At 34.8% G+C, this 13,726-nt stretch overlaps 1 protein-coding gene across 4 annotated transcripts in view; it reads right to left on the reverse strand.

Moving 5' to 3' along the window:
* Positions 1-13,726, reverse strand: part of MANBA (mannosidase beta) — a 130,199-nt gene that overhangs the window by 14,140 nt on the left and 102,333 nt on the right. For all 4 annotated transcript variants that reach the window (NM_005908.4, XM_047415692.1, XM_047415693.1 and 1 more), the window contains 2 exons: positions 12,773-12,991; positions 5,628-5,792 (listed from right to left, as the gene is read on the reverse strand). In NM_005908.4, the coding sequence (NP_005899.3) occupies positions 5,628-5,792; positions 12,773-12,991 (384 nt within the window). The remainder of the gene's footprint in view (positions 1-5,627; positions 5,793-12,772; positions 12,992-13,726) is intronic.

Genomic DNA, 13,726 nt, shown 5'->3' on the forward strand with positions numbered 1-13,726 from the left:
TTAATTTTTTTAAAAAAAGAAAATCAGTTGACCATAAATGTATATTTGTTCCTGGATTCTCAATTTTATTGAATCAATCTATTATATATACCTTGTCTTTTGTCATTACCACACTGTCCTGATTACTACAGCTTTGAAGTAAGTTTTAAAATCTTTTTTTCAACAGTATAAGATTTGTCAAATGCTTTTTCTTCATTTATTGAGATGATCATGTGTATTTTTTCTTTCTTTACTAATATGGTTTATTATACTGATTAACTTTCATATATCGAATCAATCTTGCATTCCTGGGATATTTCCCACATAGTTATGCTATATAATCCTTTGTATATGCTGCTGGATTTGGATTGATACCATTTTATTGAGGATTTTTTTCTGTCTACATTCACAAATGATATGAGTCTGTAGGTTGCTTTTCATGAGATATGTTTGTCTGGTTTTGGTATCACAGTAATGTTGGCTTCACAGAATGAGTTAAGTGTTTCCTCCTCTTATTACTAATTTTTTAGGGAGTTAATGAGGGGTTTCTTTTAATTCTTCTTTAAACATTCTTAGAATTCACTAGTGAAGCCATCTGGTCCTGGATTTTTCTTTTTACGGGAAGGTTTTTTTGTTTGTTTTTGTTTTTTAACTAACTCAATCTCCTTAGTTGTTATAGGGCTATTAAGATTTTCTATTTCTTCTTAATTCAGTTTTCATGGGTTGTTTCTCTAGGAATTCATCCATTTCATCTAAATTAACTGACTTGTTGCCATATAATTGTGTATATATTCTCTTATCACCTTATTTATTTTGGTAAGGTGAGTAGTAATATTTCCTCTTTCATTCCTGACTTAGTAATTCAAGTGTCCTCTCTTTTTTCTGGGCCAGTCTAACTAAAGGTTTGTCAATTTTGTTGATCTATTCAAAGAACTAACTTTTGGCTTCACTGGTTTTCTCCAGTGTTCTAATGAGGTCTTTATTTAATGTGCCAAATTTCTGATGCCCACTTTACTTAATTGCTGAAAATTACTGTTAACAATTTAACCAAACACCATTATTGCAACTGTGAAGGGATAGAATATTACAGTTTAAAAAGCAGAAACCCTACTCCATTCATTGCCCTGAGTCCTTAGGCAAAATATTTAACTTTTCTGAGACTCTGTTTCCTCATGTATGAAATGGAAAGAGTGATATGGGTGTCTGGAGATAATGTGAGAATTAAATGATAAGATTTACAAAGCAGTTCATGACCCAGGACCAGGCAGGCATTTAGTAGATACCCAAAGAATGCTACATATTGGCTTGATTATTAAATTACATGATGCCTATACAAACTCCTAATATATAATACACAATGTTAATGGTCACTCTTTCATTCCCCTCCTTTGCCCACCCTACTCTCATCTTAAAAGCTCAGTATGACCTGGATCTTCCATCGTGTCTCAGTGCTACTTACCAAACAAATAACCATTCCAGGGCAGCAGGTATCATCAAAACCTGGGCCTACAGCATCACCTACCTTTTGTCCTAGTTCTTATGATCAAGTTACTTACAGCACAGGAAGATAAAATGGGCCTCTAAAGAAAATGAGTTTCTCAAGAACATCCCCAAGCCATCATTAGATATTCAATAGACACATGAAGAATAAACAAAAGCACTAGAAAAGGCTGTAAGCTAAGGGCTTGGTAATTAATGTCCTTGGCCTGGCCTGCTCTCTTAGTGGCCAATAAGAGGCCGTGCTGGTAGAGTAAGACACTCAAAAGTTAGTTTAGATATGTTCATTTAGATAGTTGGTCCTCAAACTAGAGAGTGAGATCTGTGTAACATAGCTAAAGAGGGTGTGCTCATGTATATGGGCTATTGGGAATACAATATAACAGGGCAAGAGGGAGAGTAAAAGGTAAGGCAAGATTATCCTGGAATACTAGGAGAATTAAAGAGGCAGGAGCCCATAGGGATATCTTTTTGGCTATAAGACAAAGAGAAGATAGGGAAGGATCCAAACGTGAAGAAATTTACTGGACAGTTTTCTCAGCGAAGACTTTGCTAACAGTTGCAAATATTCCTTAATTAATAAATCTTCTAAAAAGTGGCACATAGGCAAGCACTCTGTTCTTCAGAACAGTATGACAGACTATGAGAAAAAGAACAGGGGTTGGAGTAGGAACATAGAAAGTGGAACAGAGAAGGGTTTTATTTCTAATACACAGATTAAAGAGGACTGTTCTAAAATCAAAGTAACAAGGAAAAACCCTAAAACCCTAACATTTCCTGTCTGTATTTCAGTCAAGAAAATCTGACACTGAAAACAAAATAAAATAATCATAATCCTGATTTCTTTCATCACAGATAGCATCTAGTATGTTGGAAAGTGCCAAGGTAGACACTAACAAGCCACACGAGGACAAGTCCAATTCTGAGCCAAAGCCTGAGAGGACACTAGTGCTAAATTCTCAGACAAAACCATCACCAACAAAAACTGGCAACAAATAACTCCACTTGCATGCCCAGTTCCTAACTATGGACCTTGAATGCTGATAAGTTCAGAAAAGAAAAATTATTTCTATCAGTTCTTGGAATATAATTTTGAGGAAAAGAATAAAGTTAGAGTAATAAACAGCTGGAAGGAGGAAATCCAGCATAAAAAACAATAGCAGAAAAGTCTCTTATACACACACACACACAAATAATAATCAGCCTATTTTATATGTCAGAACACTTTAACAGAGTATTATCTGTGGAAAACTTGAAAGATAAAGTGCAACACTTTTCAAGGGACAGATACCAACATTGCCTTTAACCTTGTGTTCTGGTAAGTTCATGAATTACATATAACCCTGGCAAAACTTTCCTAACCTATAAGATTATGATTGAAACATTAAAATTCTCCTAATCATTTCATCACCTTCTAAAAAAGATTATTCTTTCAGCTTACAGTTTTCTGCTTTAGTTTCTATCATGGGGTTTGTGTTTTCATACAGGAGAAAACTGATGAAGGTGTGAGCATGAGTTTGGATTAAAATTCATACATTTTTAGATACTAAGATAGGAAAATTTAACTGTGATTATGTTTTTAAAAATTTCCTGTCTACTTCAGATCAACTTTATTATTGGGATTAGGCTTTTACCTCCTCTCTAAGAACTTTAAACAAGTATGGCAAAACTAGCAGGTAAATAAACAGCGACTTTAATGGAGTCTTAAGTGTGGTCACAGGTTCATGAACTAAAATAGGCAAATGAAAAAAGTAAAATGAAACCATTATCCAAAATTCAGTTTGGCAGTTTCTTAAAAAAAATACATAAATTTGTTATATAACTCAGAAATTCCATTTCTACCCTTTGAAAAGGAAATCTATGTCCATACGAAGATTTGTATATGAGTATTCCTAACAGCATTATTCATAATAGCCAAAAATTGGAATACGATATAACAAATGTCCAGCAACAGATGAACCTGACGAATGGATAAGCAAAATGTGTATAACCATAAAACTGAATAGTATTTGGCAAGAAAAAGGACATGAACTATACATGCTATAACATGGATGATCTTCAAAAACTTTATGCTAGGTGAAAGAAGCCAGATGCAAAAGATCACATATTGTATAATTCCATTTATATAAAATGTTGAGAAAAGTAAAATCTATAGAGACAGAAAATAGATTTATGTTGTCTTGCAGCTGGAGGTGGGAAAGGGGAGTGACTGTAAATGGGTACAAGGGATCTTTTTAGAATGACAGAAATATTCTAAAATTGGATCATAGTGATGGTTGCACCACTCTATAAATATCACTTAACTGTACCCTTAAGATGTGTGAATTTTATGATATGTCCATCAAAACTTGATAGAACTGTTTTTAAAATCCAGCAAGGTGCATGCCATAACATTCACAAATCTTTTGATACATGCACACATCCATGTGACTACCACTCAGATCAAGATAGAAAACAGAAAGTTCTCTTGTACCCCTTCCTAATCATTGCTCACACCCTCCTCCACAAGTGTAGTTAATACTACTTTGCTCTCTATCATCTTGATTGTTTTTTTTTCTAATATGTACTTTTTTCTATAATATACTTAAATTTCAATATAGAAGAAATCAGTACAGTTATGTATCCTTTTATGTCTGGTTTCTTTTACTCAATGTAATACCTGCAAGACTCATCCAAGCTGATGCTGATTATCAGTAGTTTATTCTTTTTTTATTGCTGTGGAGTATTCCACTGTATGAATATACTACAATTTGTTTATAAATTCTCCTGTTAAAAGACATTTAGGTTGTTTCTACTTTGGGGCTATTGTGAATAATGCTGCTATGAACATTATTTGAGATATCCATTGGTGGACATATGAACTCATTTTTCCTAGTGCATAGCTAGGAGCAGAAATGCTGATTCAAAAGGGAAGCAAACATTTAGCTTAGGTAGAAACTGCCATAAAATTTTCCAAAGTGGTTAAACAAATTTAAACTCCTACTAACAATGTCTAAAATTTCCAGCTGTCTCGCTTCCTCACCAGCAGTTGTTATTATCAATCTTTTTAATTTTAGCCATTCTGCTGGGTGTGTAGGGGTATACTGGTATGGCTTTAATTTGCATGTTCTTGATTTACAACAAGATTGGGCACATTTTCAGATATTTATTGACGCTTTGGATATCTTCTTTAGTGAAGCTCCAGTTCAAGATTTTTGTCCATTTTTAAATAGATTGTCTGACTTTTTCTTATTGCTTTATTCTGGATACAAATCTTTTTATCAAATATATGAATTAAAACTATTGGTCCCCAATTTGTGGCTTGCCTTTTCTCTCTCTTAATGGTGTTTTTTATACTTAATGGTGTCCATAATTTCAATGGAGTATAATTTATCAATACTTTCTTTTCTAGTTAGTGCTTTTTATGTTCTATATAAAAACTCTCACCTATCCCAAAATCATGAAGCTATTCCATGTTTTCTCGAAGCTTTATTGTAGTACCTTTCACATTTGAGTCTTCAGTCATTGGTCAAATGAAGTTTCTAAAATTTATTATTATTTTTTAGAGATAGGGTTCTTGACATTTTGCCCAGGCTGGTCTCAAACTCCTAGGCTCAATCAATCCTCCCACCTCAGCCTCCCAAGTAGTTGGGACTACAGGTGTGTGCCACCATGCTCAACAATCAAATTAACTTGTATATGGAGTCAAGTTCATTTCTTTTCCCATAAAGGTATCCACGTGATTCACCACTGTTTATTGATAAAATGATTGTTCTCATACTCAATTGTGGTGGCATCACAGCCATAAATCAGGTGTCCATATTATACAGTGATCTGTTTCTGGACTCTATTGTGTTCCATTGTTCTATTTTATCCTTGGGAAATGGCACTGTCTTAATTACTAAACCTTTAGAGCAATCTTGAAGTAGAGAATATTTTCATACACAATTTATTTCAGAATTTTGTGAGCTGTTTTTGTAAGAGAGGCAAATGCCAAAAATGAACTATTTCATGTCCTATGTGTCATCATATATGTTCTTTGAAGAAAATAAATTCCTTAACCAGTGGAATGAAAACCTGAATATTTTTCACCATATATGGCCTACAAAATCTACATAATCTCTTACATTAATTGCAGGAACCTGTTCAATTCTAGAATGAAAACAACTTACCTGAGTAAGGTAGATGGTATCTTTAAATGTGCGTAATGGATCTGTGCTTTGGGGGAGTTTGAAATGAAGTCCAGCCTGATAAAGCATTTGTTTGTTACCACCTTCGTGATGTTGTCGATGAAGTGAAAACTTGCTATTGAAAGACCAGTCCTCTGTAGACGAGACCTTTCAAATAAAGAATAAGAATTAGAAATCTGAAAGTTGGCAGTAAAACTACTTTTCTATAAGTTCCTGACAAACCTGGAAAGTATCCTAAACACTAGAGAAGACCTTGAGGTTTGTTCTGTGGCTCCAGTTTCATAAATGTTTTACCATCCTACTTGTTGCCAGTGAAGGACTAGCCTTGTGGAAACTGGAATCACAAAACCAGGGTTTGGTACATATATCCTCCCTTCCTCCAACTAAGAAAGTTATATTTTGATGTTTCTCTTAAGACTCTTGTTTTATCAAAACATATTCCTGGTTTTTGAAACATCCACTATATGTATTTTTAAATATCATTTTATCTACTTAGGTAAACATTTTATCTAGTATTCGTTTGTCAAAACTTAATAGAATGCAATCAACACTGTTAAAACTGTCACAATTCTTAAATAGGAATAAAACACCTATTACACTATAATAGGGATACTATGAGAGTAGATGCTTTAGCACTTACACTGTTCACTTGTTTCTCAGTGATTACTAAATGAAACTGATATACATATGTTTAATTTTTATATAGTTGAAGACACAAACCAAATAATGTTACTTCTCTCCCCTAAAAAATCAATTTTTTATGGTTTAAGCCAGGCCCAAATTATAGGATCTTTATTTTATCCCCTAACTTACAGGATCTTTCTTTTGTCGTCAGCTCAAATTAAAAAACAAAGTAAAAAAAACTCACATATGTTGGAGTATACCTTCTACAAAAAAAGAGAAAAAAGCAATAATTCTGGCTTCTAGGCCTATAATTTAATGCACTGTTAGCATTTAAGAAAGAAGACAATTGCTGGCTACATCTGAAAATATCCAGAGTTTTAATTCAAGTTACACAGACTTTGAAAAAACATACTCTGCCCCTCCACCCAAAAACCTGAAAATTAAAAAAGCTTAATCCCTGTTCATAAAGTATGACTTTTCATTCCCAGTAATCAAGCAACACATGGGCCCATTACCTTAAAAGGAAAAGGTTATCCTTCAGGAACTGATTCATACCCAAATATAAGAAATGTACACTAGCCATATTAAATTTGGAAGTTTTTCCTAATTACAGATGTTTTTCCAAAATGCCACCACCAGAATTAAATAATGCTAACTACTCCTATTATGTATTTAAAGGAGAGATTCACATTGACAATCATCTCGCACACTTTTTAGACACACATCCTTTATCAATAGTCTTCCTACGCTTCCTCCTCTTAATTTATTTTATTTATGTTTATTATTTTTAATTGACACAATAAGTGTACACATTTATGGGGTACCATGTTATAATTTGATACATGTATACAATGTATAAGGATCAAATCAGGCTAATAAGCAAATTCATCACCTCAAACATTTATCATTTCTTTGTGTCGGGAACACTCAAAATTATCTCTTCTAGCTATTTGAAAATATACAATAAATTATTATTAACTATAGTTACCCCAAAGTGCTATAGAACACCAGAACTTATTCTTCCCATCTAGCTATACTTTTGTATCAATTAACCAACTCTATTGTCCCTCCCTGGCAACCCTTCCACCCTCTAGTAATCATTATTCCACTCTACTTCTTTGAGCTGAACTTTTTTAGCTTTCACATTGGAGTGTCCTTCCTCCTTTTCAAAGTCTGAAATATACCTTTGGGCCATGCAGCCTTCTTATTTGTAATAATTTGAATCTATCCCATAATCAGTAAACCTGATCTTTAGTTACGTGGGAGGCTTTCTACCTTCTCATAACTATGGTGTGAAAATCTTTCAAATTTCAGCTATAATAATATTACCAGAAAGAACTGGAAATGGCCAGGCAAAGTTCTAATTACTTTAAGAATATTAACTTTTTTTAAAAAAAGAATATTAACTTATTTGGTACTCATAAAAACCCGGCCGGATGCAGTGTTTCACACCTGTAATCCCAGCACTTTGGGAGGCTGAGGTGGGAGGATTGCTTGAGCCCAGGAGTTCAAGACCAGCCTGGACAACGTAGTGAGACCCCATCTCTACAAAAAGAAAAATAAAAAATCAGCCTGGTGTGGTGGCACATGCCTGTAGTCCCAGCTACTTGGGAGGCTAAAGTGGGATGATTGCTTGAGCCCACGAGTTTGAGGCTGCAGTGAGTTGTGATCACGCCACTGCACTCCAGCCTGGGTGACACAGCTAGACCCTCTCTCAAAACAAAAAACAAAACAAGCTCTATGAGTAGGTACTATTATCACCCCATTTTACAGATGTGAAAACCAGGCACAGAAAGGTTAGATAACTTCTTCAGTATCCAAATCTAATGCAGTCTAGCTCCAGTCCCTAGTTCATTAAACCCAGAAGGATCTGAAGAAAATCGAACTGTCATACAAATCATATGGTTAAAATGGTCTATACTAAAGGTAAATAGTTTACATTTCATGGGCTCTCACTGTGTCAGGTAGAGTGCTGAGTGCTTCAATGTATTAGTTAACTTAATCTTTACTCATAAACACACGCGCATATGCAGATCTACATGCACACACACACACACACACACACACACACACACACACACACACACAAGGTATTTACTACCATTAACCCCAATTTACAGATGAGGAAACTGAAATTCAGAAAGATTAAATAATCTGTCCAAGATGATACAGATAATGAATGGCAGCTGTCATATTCAATCCAGTTCTGTTTATTCCAAAGCCCAAACTTTTAATCACCGTGCAATATTGATAATCACATGTTAAAATTATATTTTATGAAAAATCAATGTATCCCAAATTAAAGAGATATGTTTTAATCAAGTTGTTGAATACATGAAAGAGCTTCTAAATAAAAGAGCCAAAGTTTTATTTAGTTTTTCTTTTGGTTTATTTTATTTTCCCAATCACCTATTCAAATTCTCAACTAAGCAGTGTAGCTTAAAAAAAGATGAGTAAATCAAGAGATAACAAATGATTCATAATGAGCAGCACTTATCCTCAACTTTTTCTATTTTAAAATATAGTGTTTATTATCTCTGAACATCATCAGGCATTTCACAAAAATATGGGATAAAAATAATTCCATTATTTGAAGGAGGCCAGTAGAAATTATTATAGATTTAAGGAAAAGGTTTAGCAATTTCTAACACTAATCTTTCTAAAGCGTGGTGAAAAGAAAATCTATCAGCTCTGGAGACAGAGAGTAAGTCTGAACCCAGCTACTTATTGTCGAGAATGGGAAGGAAGGAATGAAGGAAGCAAGAATATTTACTGAATTATTGCTTGTGTGCCAGGTCCTCACTCTTTTATTAGACAATACTCTACCCACTCCACTTTGCCTGAGGCCCAAAAGGAAATCAAAGCACTGCAGGGTGGGAGATCTATCTGTGACCTCTTGCAGTACTTTGATTTCCCCCTGGGTCTCAAAGTGGAGTGGGTAGATTATTGTCGAATTAAAGAATGAGTACGTGGTACACAGCAATTATTCAGTAAATATTCTTGCTTCCTTCATTCCTTCCTTCCCATTCTCAACACTTGTTCCTACCTGCGTCAGGATACTGAACTTCATCCTCCTTCACTCTGAAACAACAGTATTCCCAAAAGATTAGCCCCACAATTTGGGAGCAATTAAAAAACGGGGTATGGAATTTCACAATGTATATATGTTTCAAAACATCACGTAGTACACGATAAGTATATACAATTTTTCGTTAATTAATTTTTTAATTTTAAAAAACCAAAGGTAGAGCTAAGGTTATGACATCATTAAAGTTAAAAGTACAATATAACTTCAATGTGTATAAGCAAATTATAGTTGTGTTCAGGTAGCGAAATTGAAAAAGATTTTGAAATTGTCTTAAAAGACTTTTTTTGGTTACTTTATACAACTGATGCAGGGGGAGCAAAATCACATAATCATTTCAATAGATGAAGAAAAAGCACTTGAAAAATGCAACATTCTTTCATGATATAAGCACTCAGCTAACTAGAAATAAAAGGGACCTTCCTTGACCTTATAAAGGACATCTACTAAAAACCTATTGTCAATATAACACTAAATGGTAAATCATTGAAATGTACTCCCTAAGAAAAAGAACAACTCAAGGATATCTCGTCTTCCCACTCATTTTCTACATTGTATGAAAAGTTCTAGCCAGGGAAATTAAGAAAATGAAATAAAAGGCTTCCAGATTGGAAAGGAAGAAGCAATATTATTAATATCTCTATTTATAGATGACATGATCTTATATATAGAAAATGCTAAAGAATATCCTCCAAAATATTATTAGAGCTAATAAATGAGATCAGCCACTTTGTAGGATTCAAGCGCAATATACAAAAATCATCTGTATTTTTATACGTTAGCAATGAACAACCTAAAAATGAAATTAAGAAAATAATTTATTTACAATAGCGTCAGGAAGAATAAAACACTTAGGAAAAAGTAAACCAAAGAAGCGTAAGACTGGTACACTGAAAACTACAGTGTTGAAAGAAATTAAAGAAGACATCCCATGTTCATGCATCAGAAGATTTAATATTACTAGATGGCAATACTCACAAACTGATCAACAGATTCAACATAATCTCTATCAAAATCCCAGCTAGCTTTTCTGCAGAAATTGGCAAATAGATCCCAAGACTCATTTGGAAATGCAAGCCACCCAGGATAGTAAAAAGAAATCTTGAAAAAAAGAACAAAATTGGTGGACTCACACTTCCTAATGTCAAAACTTACTACAAAGCTATAGTAATCAAGACAGTGCATAGTGACATGAAATATGCCACTGGAACAGAATTGAGAATTCAGAAATAAACCCTAACTTTTATGGTCAATTGATTTTCAGGGCCAAAAGAATTTAATGGGGGAAAGAATAGTGTTTTTAATACATGCTATTGGAACAACTGGCTATACACATGCAGAAGAATGAACCTGAACTCCTACCTTCTACCATACATAAAAAATAACCCAAAATGATCATAGACTTGAATGCAAGAGCTAAAACTATAAAATTCTTAGAAGACAACACAGAAATAAACCTTTGCCATTTGGGGTGAGGCAATGATTTCTCAGATGCAACACCAAAAAGAACAGATTGGTAAGTAAAACTTCATCAAAATTTAAATTTTTTGTGCTGTAAGTGATACCATCAAAGTGAATAAGGTGACAACCCACAGACTGGGAGAAAATATTTGCAAATCATATACCTGATAAAATCTTATAGCCAGAATATATTTTTTTAATTTTCATAATTCAATAAAATAAAGACAAATAATTTTAAAATGATCAGGCCATGCATAGTGGCTCACACCTGTAAGCCCAGCACTTTGGGAGCCCGAGGTAGGAAGATCACTTGAGCTCAGGAGTTCCAGACCAGCCTGGATGATTTGGTGAAACTCCGTCTCTATAAAAAATACAAAAATTAGCTGGGTGTGGTGGCACACACTTGTAGTCCCAGCTTCTTGGGGATGCTGAGGCAGGAGGATTGCTTCAGCCTGAGAGGTCAAATCTGCAGTGAGCCGTGACCACTCCACTGCACACCAGCCTGGGCAACAAAGCAAGACCCTGTCTCTATTTAAAAAACAAAATGGCTAAAGGATTTGAACAGACATTTCTCAAAGGAAGATATACAAATGGCCAGTAAGCACGTGAAAAAAAAATGCTCAACATGATTAGCCATCAAGGATATGCAAATTTCCTGTAAATGTAAATTCCCAGGGAAATGTGAAGAAAAAAAGAAAATAACAAGTGTTGGCAAGGATGTAGAAAAATTGGAACCCTAATCCCTTGCTGGTAGAAATGCAAAATGGTGCAATCACTACAGAAAACAATTTGACATTTCCTTAGAATGTTAAAGATAGAGCTACCATATGACCCAGCAATTCCACTCCTAGATATATATATTCAGTAGAATTGAAAACATGTATTCACACAAAACATGTACACAAATGTTCCCAGCAGCATTATTCATAATAGCCAAACAGAGGAAACAACACAAATGTCCATCAACTGATAAATAGATAAACAAAACGTAGTGTATATCCATGCAACAGAATGTTATTCAGCAATAAAAAAAAGGAACATACTAATACATGGTCAACATGGATGAACCCTGAAAACACAGTCAAAGAATCAGTCTCAAAAGACCACACATTATATTATTCCAATTATATGAAATATGAAGAATAAGGAAACTATAGACACAGAAAGTAGATTCGTAGTGCCTAAAACTGGGGAGGAGGGATAGGGAAAAATAGGGAGTGGTTGCTAATGGGTTCAGGGTTTCTTTTGAGTGATAAAAATGTTCTAAAATTAAATTGTGGTGCTGGCTGCACATCTCTGTGAATATATTGAAGACTATTAAATTGTACACATTAAATGGGTGCATTGTATGGCAAGTGAATTATATCTCAATAAAGCTATTTTAAGAAGAACACACACAATGCTGAAACGGAATCTTTAGGAACAGAGAGAGTGAAAATCCATACAGAAAATAAAACACACCAACATGATGAAAAAGAGGGAGAGAGAGGAGTGGGGTGGGGGGGGGGTGGGCGGTGGTAATGGAATAGGAGGAGAAAGAGGAGAGAAAAGGTAAGATGACAACATTAGACTAAGGTTTATTTATCACATTTACCCTCTTCCTGTAGTGAAATATCCAGCTCTGAATATCTGTAAACGGTAAAACAGTTGCAGGATATGATTTACAAGCAAGAGTTATTGTAGCAAGTAAGAGTTATTTCCGTGTGTGATAATAAGTCAGGCTTAAGCAACCACTGGGTCCCATTCAGTGCTTTCGGTGCTCCTGAAGGAACACAGTAAAAGCAATATAGAAAAGTAATCCCCAAAGGTTTAAAAAAATTATTTTCCTCCATCTTCTTCTCAAACTTTCATTTAAATAAGACGTAGGTTTCATATGATTTTCTGAACCAGTGATCAGAATAAACACATGCCCACAGTCTATCATTCTGAAACATTAGAAAATCAAACGATGACTTACCTTTTCTAATGTACTGAAGGACGGCCAGGACTGATATCCATATTCAGATGCAAATCGAGCTTTTGGGAAAACTTTCCAGTTCCAGCAATCACTGATATAGTCATAAAAATGTACATCACCAAAATAATTGCTATTAGGGTTTTGAGAGACCCAGGCTTCTGCAACAGTTTCAGCCCCATTTGTAGGACTGGACGTAATAAAAGGACGACTCTTGTCTCCCTGAGTTCAGAAATAAAATGAATTCAAGGATAATATATTCATCCTGTAAAGTATGTATCATTTACTTCTTTAAAAATACTAACAAGTCCCTGAAATGCCAAGTAGCTGATAGAAAATTAGTAGGACCACTTACCTTCTTCCCTATTCAACAACCACCAGCACCTCTCTGCTCTTCGCCAATCCTTTATATCTTTTCATAAGTAACACTTAGCTCATCCCTCACAGCAGCTGTTCTTAATCTTTTCAATCATGTTTTGCCTCCACTCTCATCCATCATGGGTGGTGTACAGTCTAGTCCAGAGTTTCTTAACTTTGACACTATTGACATTTTGAGCTGGATACGTTTTTGTTGGGGTTGGCTGGGGTTGGGGGTGTCTTATGCATTGTAGGATATTTAGTAGCATCCCTGGCCTCTACCAAACAGATGTCAGTACCCCTCCCCCAACCTTGAAAAATGTCTGCAGGCACTGCCAAATGTTCCATGGGGGCAAAATCACCATCACTTGAGAACCACAGGTCTAACAGGTAAGAACAGAAGCTACTGAGTCAGATGGACCCAAACGTGACTTTAAATCTCAAATCTGAACCTTATTATTTGTGGACAGGTCTAAGCCTTGGTAGATTTATCTGTAAGATGAGGATAATAATAGTACCTCCTTTAGAGGTATTATAAATAGTAAATAACTCTCATGTGAAAGTAATGGCTAGGTGTCCACCAATTCATGTTCTCGTTTC

This window comes from Homo sapiens, chromosome 4, assembly GCF_000001405.40.
Source record: "Homo sapiens chromosome 4, GRCh38.p14 Primary Assembly".
Taxonomy (NCBI): Eukaryota; Metazoa; Chordata; class Mammalia; order Primates; family Hominidae; genus Homo; species Homo sapiens.